This window comes from Homo sapiens, chromosome 6 (genome assembly GCF_000001405.40).
Source record: "Homo sapiens chromosome 6, GRCh38.p14 Primary Assembly".
Lineage (NCBI taxonomy): Eukaryota > Metazoa > Chordata > Mammalia > Primates > Hominidae > Homo > Homo sapiens.
This window is the reverse complement of record NC_000006.12, coordinates 2,719,804-2,733,615: the sequence shown is the minus strand read 5'-3', so window position 1 is coordinate 2,733,615 and position 13,812 is coordinate 2,719,804. Positions and strand designations below refer to the sequence as shown.

At 44.2% G+C, this 13,812-nt stretch overlaps 1 protein-coding gene and 1 long non-coding RNA gene across 6 annotated transcripts in view, besides 1 other annotated feature; both read left to right on the top strand.

The window, feature by feature from the left end:
- The window catches only part of MYLK4 (myosin light chain kinase family member 4), a 106,740-nt gene that overhangs the window by 36,761 nt on the left and 56,167 nt on the right, over positions 1-13,812 (top strand). The window lies entirely within an intron of this gene.
- Positions 69-258: an enhancer, noted in NCBI's record as "active region_23872". NCBI's record gives its function as "activates an Ori minimal core promoter by ATAC-STARR-seq in GM12878 lymphoblastoid cells {active_cell/tissue: GM12878}" and the evidence as "EXISTENCE:reporter gene assay evidence [ECO:0000049][PMID:35858748]".
- LOC124901240 (uncharacterized) lies at positions 9,703-12,497 on the top strand. The gene is made up of 3 exons (XR_007059406.1): positions 9,703-9,972; positions 11,753-11,900; positions 12,463-12,497. It is a non-coding gene; the product is annotated as an uncharacterized LOC124901240 (long non-coding RNA).

Below are 13,812 nucleotides of genomic sequence, written 5' to 3'. Positions count from 1 at the left end.
AAAACATTTGAGCTCTATCTGGGCTGACTACGCATTGCCCCTCCCTCTTACAGCTCAGTCTTGTGACCACGTAGGCTTCCTTCTCTGTGAGTGAGGCTGATGACGCACACCTCCTCGGTGGTTCCTCATTCTGAGTGAACACTCCATGCTCATTTTGGCTGATACCATTGAGTTTCTAGCTCCTCCCATTGCTTGGTTGGTTTCTGAGGTCTGCTGGTCTCTGGGGATTATGAATTCACAGAAAACTGTAGGGACTGTAGTTTTTACACATGTATTTCCATTTCCACCATAACTCTTCTGCCTTTGCATCAGCTGTGCTATGACTGAAATGGGAAAAATTTTATGGGGATAAAAATTTGGTTCTCTTATACCTAGTGAAGTCAGAAGCCTTTCTCTGACAGAAGGCTGGCTTCTTTTACAGTTTGCATAAAAGGCCTAATATGTGGTTGAAGTAGCAAAAGCCCATTTTTGCAGGGTAAAAACAACAGATTATAAATAATTCAAAAAGAAGAAGGATATAATTTGACAGTTTAAAGAAGAGCTGAGACCATTTTTGTTCTGTGTGAAAGCAGATAGAAGGGCCATTCTCTGCCTGAATAGTTATAATAAAGTCAACCTTCCTTGAATCGACTTGAGAAATTGAATGAAATCCAACTCCAGTGTTATTTAGCTCTAAGCACGTCCACAAATAGATCAAGGGAGCAGATGGGGACAGAGGGTCAAGGAAGGTTGTGAGTGAAAGAATGTTTGGAAGGAACAGCCAGGGCTAGGTGGAGTGAAGCCCAAACTCTCTGTGATGTAGGGTCACTCCCAGCAGAAACAAAGCACAGTGCAGTCCCTTTGGTCGTTCCTGCAAACCCTCTAGATTTTCAGTTTTAAGGCATCAGAGGAAACTACAGCAACCACCCAGGATGTTGGTCTGACACCCTCCTCAGGCTCTCTCAGCTCCAGTGGGTCTCGGGGGTCACTTGGCATGATAGGCACAGTGTGATGTTCCTAGGGCCACTGCAGAGCTGGCCGATAAACTCTGTCAGCCCAGGATCCACTCAGGCTGACTCTGTGGCTGTATGTGTAGACCCAGGTGGAAGCTTCTGTAAACAGAAATACAAGGACTTGTTCTACCCTGCTCTGGCTAAGTTGAGAGGATTTACTGAGTGCTTCCTGAGTGCTCAGGTATCCACTAGGATCTATAGAAGAGGCCAAAGAAATGGGGTTTCCAGTGCCCATCACGATGAGCTGTTGGACCTATGTAAATCTCTGCAGCTTGCTGAGTGGGTATTTGAAATATGGGGTTAGCGCCATTGTTCTCATCTGGGCTGCTGTGCAGGTAAATATATACTGTGCATAAAAGGCTTGGACTGTGCCTGGCTCAAGGTTAGCACTCACTAAAAGGTAGCTAAAATCATTATTAATGGTATTGTTACCATCACTCCAGAAGCTTATCATTTCGTGGAAGCTGGCATGTCTGATTACGTGAATCAGGAAGAAAACAAGGCTGGCCAAAGGCCAGCATACGTCTTAGAGGCTATGATCCTCCAGGTGCATTTTGCAGGTGTATGAGCAGGCTGGTCCAGGTCAATTTCCAGGTCTGTTTAGGCTTCCTCCCTCTCACTTAAGTTTGTGCAGAAATGGAGTGCACTCTCTGCTCCCTGGAGATGGTCAGACTGACTGCCTGTGGATGGCCTCCCCACTACTCAAAGAATGATGCCATGGTCACCTACTTGCTGCCACTTGCTCTTCCTCACCAGTCTCCTTAAAATGTCAACTTTGGAGCCAAATCTCCAGGTCCTTTTATAATAAAAGATAACCTACGCATATAAAACTGGACTCACAGAAAATAGCATTGATTCATTTTACCAGTATTCATTAAGCACCCAACGGGTGGGTGTGGGCTGGATGAGTAAGGGAGGTTGAATACAATGATTAATGAAAGAAACAGTCCCCTCCCCCACCAACCTTAGAGAGAATTCAGCAGTGGAAAAGTGTGCTCAGGGTTAAGACCAGAGCAGGTGCCATAGGAGTCCAGAGCAGGGGAATTTTATCTAATCTGTAGGGATTAAGGAAGGTATCTCTGAGCAGGTGAAGTTTCATCTGCACCTGAAGGATAGCAGGGACTAAAGCCAGGGCACATAGGAGGCGCTCAGCAAAGGCTCAGCATGGGGTGAAGGAATGCGGCCAGGCAGAGGGAGAAGCACCTCCAGCAGCCATGGCTCAGTGACCAGGTTTCAGACCTGCCTACCTAGAGTCCAGAGAAACTGGGGCCCCTTATCCAGCCCCAGAGCCGAGACACCAAGGTGCAGCCTGTTTCCATCCTCTTGTCAGTTCCCATTTCCTGATAATATTCCAACCATTTTTTTTGTCACCCCTAAAAGTTCATTCTAGCAGTTCCAGGATTCATTCCTGGGACTTCTTAGAAACGAAATTATGCTTGGTACCATTTCCCTTCCTTCTGAAATTACTGTTGCTGTATTTTTAGTATGTTTTGGGGGACTGAAAAGCATTACTTACCTCTAGTTTTCCATATAACCTCTTCTGATGACTACCCCTTTTAAATCTTTTTTTTAAAAAGGCTATCCAGCCTGAATTAGCTTTTCTGTAAGAAAAGGTCTTTCGTGGTTTATAAATTTTAATGCAGGATGCTAACTGCCAGGATATTTTTGGACCACAACCAGGGGTTTAAGCAGCCTCCCGTAACAGATGAAATGAGGCCAGGCTGAACTGCACCTGGACACAGTGGCCCTTTCATCCTTCACGTTCAAAGTCATGACACCTCCCGCTTTCAACCTTAGGATGTCAAGAATTTTCTTTTTAAAACTCGTTTCCTGGAAATAGGTCTTTGCTGTGCTAATGGATAATTTTTCACTTCGTATTTTTTTAAGATGAATAAATTCTATTTTTTTTCCTTTTGCAAATAAGAAAAAAAAACAGGGTATGAGGGGGCTGTGGTAAGCATCTCCTCTGTATTAAATAGCACAGGCCATTACTGTCCTGGATTTTTAAATGTTTCATTAGCAACAGGGGATTCCTACACTGCCCTATTCATTCCTCCTCAGACACTGGACTGATTATTTTGATTAAAAGTGCTGAGTAAGAGAATGTTGCCTGGAAATTCGCCTGTTAAGTGAATGCCAGGGCCTTTAACCACACGGGGACCTGCTCTTGTGGCTACTTACAGCCCCTCATTCAATGCTGCAATGAAGGAAAACTGGGAATTTTCAGGTTCAACCACTTGCCCCTGTTTCTGCATCCTTCCTCCCGCTATGCTGGACAATTCTCCAAGAATAATGTATCACTCCAAGCCAGCAGGCACAAAATTAAAAGAGGGGCTCCCTTGGGGGCAGTAGATTGGGAGGGATATCCTTCTACGTGCCCTGTTGGCTCACATCTTGGCCAGCTGACAGCGCTTCCCCTCCTTGGGTTTGGCCAAGGGAGCACACGCTTGCTTTCAGCCCCTCACCTCCCCAAAGGGCAGCTCCATGGAGGGTGTGAACTACATGCTGCAGGCAGATGGCCTGCGGAACGCTTCCCCAGCACGCTGTTCTTAGCTACCTGTCCATTCATTATTGTCGAACCACTGACATTTTATCTGAAAGACCCCAGATCATGAAGTTTTAAAGGAAGTATAGTGAGTTTTTCAGTAAGGCGATGTGCTTTAGGGAGAAAATCCAGCGTTTGAAGACCGCCAACTGTGTTTCTGTCTGGATGGAGGGAAGAAGTTGCTTTCGGCCCAGTGGCCCAGCTGGGAGGGATTGCTCCAGCCACCCTTCTTGCTTATATAAATGAAAAAAGATCACAGAAGCCACTGCCTTCATATAGGTCCTAACAGGGTTCTTTGTAGGTTGTCAGAAACTTCTCTCCCAATGGTCTTGGTGGGTAAATGCTGAAAAATGCCTCCTTGAGAGAAACAGCATGAGGCCTTCACCCCCTCCCCAGTGAGGTTCAAAGTCACTAAAACACATCTGATCCACTAAAGTCCAGTCTGGAAAGCATCCTGAGAGGCAGAAGAGAAACACTCCTTGAGGGAGCCTGGCCCCCTGCGGCAGGCAGGGTTTAGGGTTGGGGAACTAAGGGAAAAAATACAGGGCCCCTTGGTGAAACTGGAATATCAGATAATGGTGGATCGTGTTTAGTATAAGTTTGTAATAATCAGTACACAAACCAAAGTTATTTGTTGCGTATCTGGAGAGGTGCGAGCTCCTTTGCCACGATCTCTGTGTCCCACAGCCGACCTGCCTTGGCATCCTCGTCTCCTGCCACTTCCTGTTTTACCCCATGTGCTTGCTGGTCCCTGAATTCTCTTCCATCTGTCTTTCCTCATCCTCCTGGCCCCAGTGGCTCCCCAGCCATGCCCAGAGAGGTTGGCACTATAGCTGAGCAATAGAATGGAGTCTTTGAAATTTGCTGCATATCCTGTATTTTTATTTGCATGATAATAGGGGCATGGCCTGTAAGTGGGGCTGGCACATGAAGTGTGTGTCATAACTGTGGCTTTGCAGGAGTGTGAGCTAAAGAGCTGGAACCTTGGGATCCCAAGCGTGAGCACAGTTGGTGGACAGTGAGCCAGGAGGGAGTGGGTATCTCCTTGAACCATGGCATGTGTGTACACATAGCAACCAGCAAAGACTCCATTCTATTGCCAAGCCCTATGATAGCAAAATGGGGAGGTAGCAACAGAAGGCAGAGACACAGAAAGCCAGGATCTGCCATCCACCGTGGAGATTCTCAGCTCTCTTTCCTCTGAGGTCAGCAGCAGAGATAGCTTCTTGGGGTGGGTGTGGATGGAAGAAGAAAGAGATGCCAGGGACCCTGTTATTGGGAGGTGGGTGCTTGACAGATTGGTTTGACAGATCAAGTCAAAGCAGATGTAAATGTGCTTGGTTTCCAGGTTGGTGAAATTTTGGTCACTGTGATAACTAGGACAGAAGGACAGAAGGAAAACACATTCTGTGGCCTCCACGGGCCTCCCAGCTGCAGCCTCAGCTGGAGTGCCAACCTCTCTGGGCATGGCTGGGGAGCCACTGGGGCCAGGAGGATGAGGAAAGACAGATGGAAGAGAATTCAGGGACCAGCAAGCACATGGGGTAAAACAGGAAGTGGCAGGAGATGAGGATGCCAAGGCAGGTCGGCTGCGGGACACAGAGATCCTGGCAAAGGAGCTCCCACCTCTCCAGGGCTGGGCATCATCAGACTGTTTTGTTTTTTTTAATAAAACTCTTCAGACAATACATGATGAGTTAAATAAAAGACACAAAAGTGGTTTCTTCAGAGAGACGGGGACTCAGACCCCTCTCATTCTGTAGAAAACAGTAAGGTTCCCCTGCACTGCCTGTGTCTTACATACGAAAAACACCTAAAGACAAATAAGGAGAAACATATACAAAGTCCTGCAGCAGTATTTGCTGCCCAATGTCTGATGCCATTTGTTGGGACCTTTGTTTTTCAAACTGTGGTACCTGGATCACTTTTAAAAATAGAGATATCAGCTCTGCTACCTACTGCCTCAGTGACCTTGTACTCATTACTTATCCTTTCCGTGCCTCAGTTTAATTGTGTGTAGAATGGGGGAAAATGGAGCCCATACAAGGTTGAGGTGAGCATTAAATAAGGGCTATACCAGGGCTACTGTAAGCCCTAAGTAAATGATAGCATTTTTTTTTTTTTTTTTTTTTGAGACGGAGTCCTGCTCAGTCGCCCAGGCTGGAGCGCAGTGGCGTGATCTCGGCTCACTGCAACCTCTGCCTCCCGGGTTCAAGCGATTCTCCTGCCTCAGCCTCCTGAGTAGTTGGGATTACAGGCATGCGCCACCACACCCAGCTAATTTTTGTCTTTTTAGTAGAAACGGGGTTTTACCACATTGGCCAGGATGGTCTCTATCTCTTGACCTCGTGATCCGCCCACCTCGGCCTCCCAAAGTGCTGGGATTACAGGCGTGAATGATAGCTATTATTAATAATAATGATGATGATGAGATATGAACCGTCTTATTAGTTTTTATTTTAGAACCCTGTTCCAGGCCTATGAAATTAAAACTTCTGATCCTTCTGTCCAGATGCAACCTCGAGCGGTTTGTAGGCACTCTACAATTTTGAAGTATGACTGTCATTTTCTATGAAGAGCGGCTGTCTTTGGGGGGGTTCCCACTCACTTGTGCATGGGGGCAGGGATCAGGGCCCCTCCTGAGACTCTAGAGGAGAAGGCAGAGTTTTTCAGTGCCTCGGCCTCTAGCTCTGGGCAGCTCTTTCCGTGGCATTCCTCCAGCTCTCCCAACTTCCATTTAAGGCTGACAGCACTGCAGCGCTTTCCGGGGTCTTCTCTTTCCTTGTGGGCAGAATCTTACAGTAGTGGAATCCAGGTTTTTATGTTGAAGGCTGAGCAGTGGCTTCATTTTGCTTTAAAAGGGAGCAGGCTTTGATTGACTTAGTTAATGCAGCCACTTCTTTAAGATCTGTGAAAACTGACAGTGAGACCAGAAAGAGCAAATCCCCTAAGTTGGATTCCACCTGTTCTGCCCACATCTCTGAAGCCACACAGTGGGCTGAAAAAGGCCACCTTTCAGATGGCAGAATCTGACACGTTCACAATGTCAAAGTATTTTGTGTCACAAAACTGATCTCTCCCGCTGTGAGATAATAATACAGTTTTAAGATATTTACACAGAAATTTGTTTTAGCCCAGGTAATCATTTGGTTAATTATATAGTAGGTGCCCGGGCACGGTGGCTCACGCCTGTAATCCCAGCACTTTGGGAGGCTGAGGTGGTGGATCACCTGAGGTCAGGAGTTCAAGACCAGCCTGGCCAACATGGTGAAACCCCATCTCTACTAAAAATAAAAAAATTAGCCTGGCATGGTGGCGGGCGCCTGTAATCCCAGCTACTCAGGAGGCTGAGGCAGGAGAATTGCTGGAAGCCGGGAGGCAGAGGTTGCAGTGAGCCGAAATCCCGCCACTGCACTCCAGCCTGGGCAACAAGAGCAAAACTCTGTCTCAAAAAAAAAAAAAAAAAAAAAAAATTGTATAGTAGGCACACAGCTAAGGATGTGGGAGCTACTTTAGTTTGGAGTTCCCTGGCTTCTCACTTTGACTTCTCATATTTGGTAATGACCTAACAACTCTGGGCATGGTTTTTGTCTCCTCTAAGTTGGAGTGAGTAATTTTCTCAGTGACTGAAAGGATGCAATTTACGGAAGCAGCCCCTGCACGCTGAGATCTGGTTTCAGGCCAGCTACTCGCCTAACAGTCCAGAAACCCTTAAAGCTACTTCCTGGCAAAATGGCTACGACTCTGCTGGCCCTGGGCTCCTTCTCTCCTCTCACCTACTACATCTTTCTGCTTTTTATTACATTGGTCTATAACCCAAAACATTTTCCTTTTTTGCGATTTTGCTGTTAGAGAGTCTCAAGGTAATCTTTGGACTTTAATAACAGTATATGTTTTCCAAACACACTGGATATGTAGATTATTTCTCAGTCTTTTTAATGCCTTAACTCCATGAGATGTTTGCAACTGATAACGAGAGAAGTCAGCCAGACAAAGGGACGACTCAGCGCTGTTGGCCACTGCTTACTCCTTGGAAAACCCCTCAAAGTCTGTCTTAAAGATAAGAGACCAGGGTTATCTTACTCACCTTGTTATATAAAAACAGACCTTCCAAACACTGAGCTTGTTCCGTGCTAGAGCGCCTTATGAAATAGAGAGCTCGTGGCTGGATGATCGGTTATCAGGTATATTATTAATATCACAGAAGGCTGAGTGAGAGGCACTCACGTGTCCCTCCAAACTGCAGGATTCTTTGATTTTTAAAAATGTTAAATTTGGACGTACTTTGAATTCTGATGTATATTCTCCCAGAACACATGAGGTTATTTCAAGAAGTGCTCTGCCTATCGATAGTTAAAAGATAAGCTTTACATTCTACTTATCTACAGGATATTCTTTTTAAAATTTTTCTTTCTTTCTTTCTCTCTCTCTCTTTCCTTCTTTCTTTCTTTCCTTCTTTGTTTGTTTGTTTGTTTCTTTCTTTCTTTCTTTCTCTTTCTTTTTCTTTCTTTCTTTCTTTCTTTGTTTCTTTGTTTCTTTCTTTGTTTCTTTTTCTCTCTCTCTGTCTCTCTCTCTCTCCCCCTCTCTTTCTTCCTTTCTTTCTTGAGATGGGGCCTTACTGTGTCACCCAGGCTGGAGTGCAGTAGTGCAATCATTGCAATCATAGCTCATTGCAGCCTTGAACTTCTGAGCTCAAGCGATCCTCCTACCTTGGCCTCCCAAGTAGCTCAGACTGTAGGTGTGTACCACCATGCCATGCCTGGATAATTGTTTTAATTCTTTTTGTGGAGATGGAGTCTCCCTATCTTGCCCAGGTTGGTCTTGAAATCCTGGCCTCAAGCAATCCTCTCACTTTAGCCTCCCAAAGTGCTGGGATTATAGGCATGAGCCACCATGCTTAGCCCCATATTCTATTTTTGTTTGTTTTTGAGGCAGAGTCTCACTCTGCTGCCCAGGCTGGAGTGCAGTGGGGCTATCTCGGCTCACTGCCACCTCCGCCTCCCAGGTTCAAGTGATTCTTCTGCCTCAGCCTCTCGAGCAGCTGGAATTACAGGTGTGTGCCACCATGCCCAGCTAATTTTTCTATTTTTAGTAGAGACGGAGTTTCATCATGTTGGCCAGGCTGGTCTTAAACTCCTGACCTCAGGTGATCCGTCCACCTCGGCCTCCCAAAATGCCCAGCCTATTCTTAATTATATATAGTTTTACTATGCTTGAGTTGTGTTATGGGCTTTAACTTAGAAAATTGTGCTTCTTGAATTAATAGAATACGAGGTCTCCCTGTCACATGATCTTAATCATCAAGACATTCGCTAATTTTCTATTTGTGTGTTGCTGTGCTATGTACAATATTCAGAGACAGACCGGGCTGGGCTCTGTGTTCACCGCATCATTACAAAATGAATTCCCTCAAAATATCCTGCAAGAAATGCACTTTGGAGTAGGCTCAAATGTCTTGGACTTTTTAGCAACTGATCATAAAAGTCTGAAGGATGGATTTCTGTAGTGTGATTTTAACTTGGGAGTAAAAAGCTTTATCCTTCCCTTCATGATTTCCCTTTTGGCTTTTACCGACCCTTCACACTTCCTTTCTCCAGCACCAAGTGACGAAAGGTCCCTGCATACCTTTCCCCCTGCGTTAGTGATTGATTTCTCCCTGGCCGGATCCAGTTGGAGGAACCCTTTCATAGCTCCTATAGATCTGAACCCTCTGGGATTTCTTAATGTGCCCCTATCCAGGACAACTCCTTTTTGGAACCTCAGGAGCAGGAACACTGGGAGACATGGGTTTTTGGTGACAATGACTAAGCAGTCACTGGAAAGTCCTCTATGTGTATCGCCCATCTGTAGCAGATGCTGGGTAAGGGAGGGAAAACAAGGTCATCTTTAAAATAATCAATCAGCCAGGCATGGTGGCTCATGCCTGTAATCACGGCACTTTGGGAGGCTGAGGTGGGTGGATCATTTGAGGTCAGGAGTTCAAGACCAGCCTGGCCAACATGGTGAAACCCCGTCTCTACTAAAAATACAAAAATTATCCCAGTGGTAGTGGCACGCACCTGTAATCCCAGTTACTTGGGAGGCTGAGGCAGGAGAATCACTTGAGCCTGGGAGGCGGAGGTTGCCGTGAGCCGAGATCACGCCACTGCCCTCCAGTCTGGGTGACAGAGTGAGACCCTGTCTCAAAAATAAAAAATAAAATAAAATAAAATAAAATAATCAATCACCAAAGCCGTTGTGAAGGGCATTAGAAACTGACAAAATAACTGTGTAGAAGACAACCAAGTTGTCTTAGATCCCAGAAATAGTGGGGCTCCAAAGTGCTGCCAACCTAATGAAGGGTGTCTCTTTAGCCAGAGATGACTGGAGGCAGAGCTACCCACAGCCCGACCACTTCTACCTGAGCTCTTATTGAGGATGCAAAAAGCCAAAACCGTAAGTTTACAAGGTGCTCTGATGGGGCCATGAGTGAAAAGGAAATATGGAAAATTGATTCTAAGTGAAAGAGCAAACGCAGACCCTGGGGTGCCAGCGAGGGCGAGAGAACCTCAAGCTAACTCAGTGTGAGGGACGTCAGCAGTTTTTTTGAGAGATCTTTGCATCTGTTTTATTCCCCAATATTTGAATGCTCAATTGCTTCAGCAAATTTGTTTCAAATTAGAGCTTTAAAATAAACTCTTCCCCATGTTTCACAAATATGGAGAACAGAAAGTTTTCAGTTAGAACCTTACTGAATTATCTTAATAATTATCAGCACTCACATAACTTTTTCTTTTCTTTATTTTTGAGACAGGGTCTGACTCCGTCACCCAGGCTGGAGTGCGGTGACGTGATCTCAGCTCACTGCAGCCTTGACTTCCCAGGCTCAAGTGATCACTGCACCTCAGCCTCCTGATTAGCTGGGACTACAGGCATGCGCTACCATGCCCAGCTAATTTTTTTGAGTTTTTGTAGAGATGGGATCTCACTATGTTGCTCAGGCTGGGCTTGAATTCCTGAGCTCATGCAATCCTCCCCCCTCAGCCTCCCAAAGTGCTGGGATCGAAGGTGTGAGCCACCATGCCCAGACTCAGCTTTTTAAAAAAACTTAAAAAAGCAAAAATATGAGAAGCTGGTATATTATTGAAAAAATGCATATTAAGGTGATACAATAGGTTCTCAAATTGTCATGCTAAGAATTGGGGCAATTCATTCATAATTAAAACATTATATATAGGATGTATAAAATATTTTTACTTAAAAATCTTTGTATTTTTATATTCGTTATCCATTTACATAATTTGAAGAGTTATAATGTTTTACAAAGCCTTTGCTAAGACACAGCAGTTCCTACCCATTCTGTCTCCATTCCCCCTCACCAGAGGTAAACATTTTCATTTCCTTTATCTGATTCTTTTGTTATTTACCTCCATGTGTCTAAATAATATGCATGTGTTCGTTTTTCTTTTCATATTTGGGTTTTGAAAATTGACTTCTGTAGAGAGAAAGATGAGGATTAGGTCTCTTCTATTTTCCACCTCCAACACACACACACACACACACACACACACACACACACACACACACTCCTTTTATGTCCTACTTCCTGCTCTCATTCTCTCAACATAGTTATATTATAATTTTTGGTTAAATAAAAAGTGCTTCAATGATTGTGATTTTGAAAATGTTATTATTCATGGCTGAAAGCTATGTAAAGCACTACTATAAATTTTTATTTCTTGCTCAGCTTTTTCTTTTCCCTGGAGTTATTGGTTGCCTTGATTTTTAAAAACTTGCTTATTTTTGAAAGACGCATCTCATACTCTAAACCACACTGTATACTAATTGTCAAAATCCTTTCTACATGCCTTCAGATTTATTAAATATTCTATCAATTTTATCTTCTTGAAGAAATTTCTCCAAGAGACTTCTAACCAATCTGGGCTTTATTCTGTTCCACAGTAGTTGCCGTCTAAGTCTGAAGCACAGCTGGTATCTGAGGATTTCAACTCTCCAACAGTCTGGAAAGACCCTGTCTCTTTATGTTGCATCACCTCTGTTAGATATCTTTTGCGTTCCTTTCTTATTTTACTCCCTGTTTAGATGTCATACATCTTCCAGTAGTTTTCTGAGAATGATGGAGGATTGTATATTTTTGAGACCTTACATTTCTGAAAGTGTCTTAATTTTATATGTACACATTGATAGTTTGACTTTGTTTTCTATTGTCTTCTAGCTTTCATGCAGCTGTTGAGAAGTCCAAACAAGTTCAGAATCCTGATCTTTTGTGTGTGGCCTATATTTTCTCTCTCTAGCAACTTGGGAAACCTTCTATTTGTCCTTGTATTGGGAAAAGTTTCTGCCAGAACCAAGAACCACTGTCCGTAAGTGGAGGGAAGTTCAGACTGAAGAAAGAGGCAAAACCACTTTAGGTTGGTAGGTAGTCAAAGGTTTATTCAGGAGGAACTTACATATGAGGCAGTCTTGGGTAGCAGGAAGAAGGGGTAGATCTCTGAGCTTGCGATGCATGCCTCTCTAACCTTTTATAACACAAAAAGAAAAGGGAAAGAAAATAAAAGTCATAGACGGTGTGTTAAACCATCCAGTTGCTTTCTTAATCTATTTACTTTCTACTGAAAGAAATTGGATCCCCTACAATCTGGTCAACACTCCTAAAGCAGGGGCAGTTATTCCTGGCAGCAGCAGTTATCTTGGTCCCCCAGTCACTGTGTCCTGCAACTCACTTTGAGGTCACGTACCCAGAATGCATTTTCATAACATCTGGATTTTCTGAAATTTCACAGTGGTAGGCTTTGTATGAGTGTTTCATTCATTGTGCTGGACATTTGCTGGGTGCTCACATCCTTCAGTCTAGGAACCTTTCTTGGATAGTTTCATGTTCTCTTATTGTTTATTTATTTATGTATTTATTTATTTTTGAGACAGAGTCTTGCTCTGTCACCCAGGCTGGAGTGCGGTGGTGTGATCTTGGCTCACTGCAACCTCTGCCCCCCAAGTTCAAGCGATTCTCCTGCCTTGGCCTCCCGAGTAGCTGGGACTACAGGCAGGTGCCACCACGCCCGGCTAATTTTTGTATTTTTAGTAGAGACAGGGTTTCACCATGTTGGTCAGGCTGGTCTCCAACTCCTGACCTCGTGATCCACCCACCTCAACCTCCCAAAGTGCTGAGATTATAGGTGTGAGCCACCACGCCCAGCCCACATTCTCTTATTCTTGTTCTGGAACTCCTATTATTAATATTTGGATGTTAGATCTCTTAGTCTAGTCCTTTACGTTTCCTGTCTTTTTGCTTTTATTTTTCTTTTCTATATCTAGTGGCTCTGCTTTCAGGGAGACTTCTTTACTCTATTGTGGAAACTTTCTTTAAATTTTCTTATCTACTATCATAGTCTTAATTTCCAATAATTTCTTTTTATTCTCTGAATGTTTCTTTTACACGAATCCTATTCTTGTGACATAGATTTAATACATTTTCTTATTTCCCTGAAGATATTAGGTTGGTGCAAAGGTAACTGCAGTTTTTGCATGACTTTTAATGGCAAAAACTGCAATTTCCTTTGCACTAGCCTAATATCAATGAGTAATTTTTAAAGTTCTCATTTCCCTGCATAATCTCTGTTGTCTCCAACTTGCTTTGTTTCATTAGTTTTAGTCTCTGCTTTTTTTTTTTTGTTTTTAGATGGAATCTTGCTGTGTCTCCAGGCTGGAGTGTAGTGGCGCGATCTCGGCTCACTGCAACCTCTGCCTCCCGGGTTCAAGCAATTCTCCTGCCTCAGCCTCCCGAGTAGCTGGGACTACAGGTGCCAGCCATCACGCCCGGCTAATTTTTTGTATTTTTAGTAGAGATGGGGTTTCACCATGTTGGCCAGGATGGTCTCGATCTCCTGACCTCGTGATCTACCCGCCTCAGCCTCCCAAAGTGCTGGGATTATAGGCGTGAGCCACCGCGCCCAGCCTAGTCTCTGCTTTTTTAAAAAAAATGTTAGGACAGTGGTCCCTAAACTTGTCTGTGTATTAGAATCACCTGGGAAATCTTTAAAAATTCTAAGGACCAGGTAAATTAAATTATAATCTCTGGGAATAGGACTGATTTTTGTATTTTTAGTAGAGACGGGGTTTTGCCATGTTCACCAGGCTGGTCTCGAACTCCTGACCTCAGGTGATCCACCCGCCTCAGCCTCCCAAAGTGTTGGGATTACAGGTGTGAGCCACCACATCCAGCCCAGACTAATTTTTCTGATGACAAATGCTGCTTGTTGATGTGAATTCTGATAT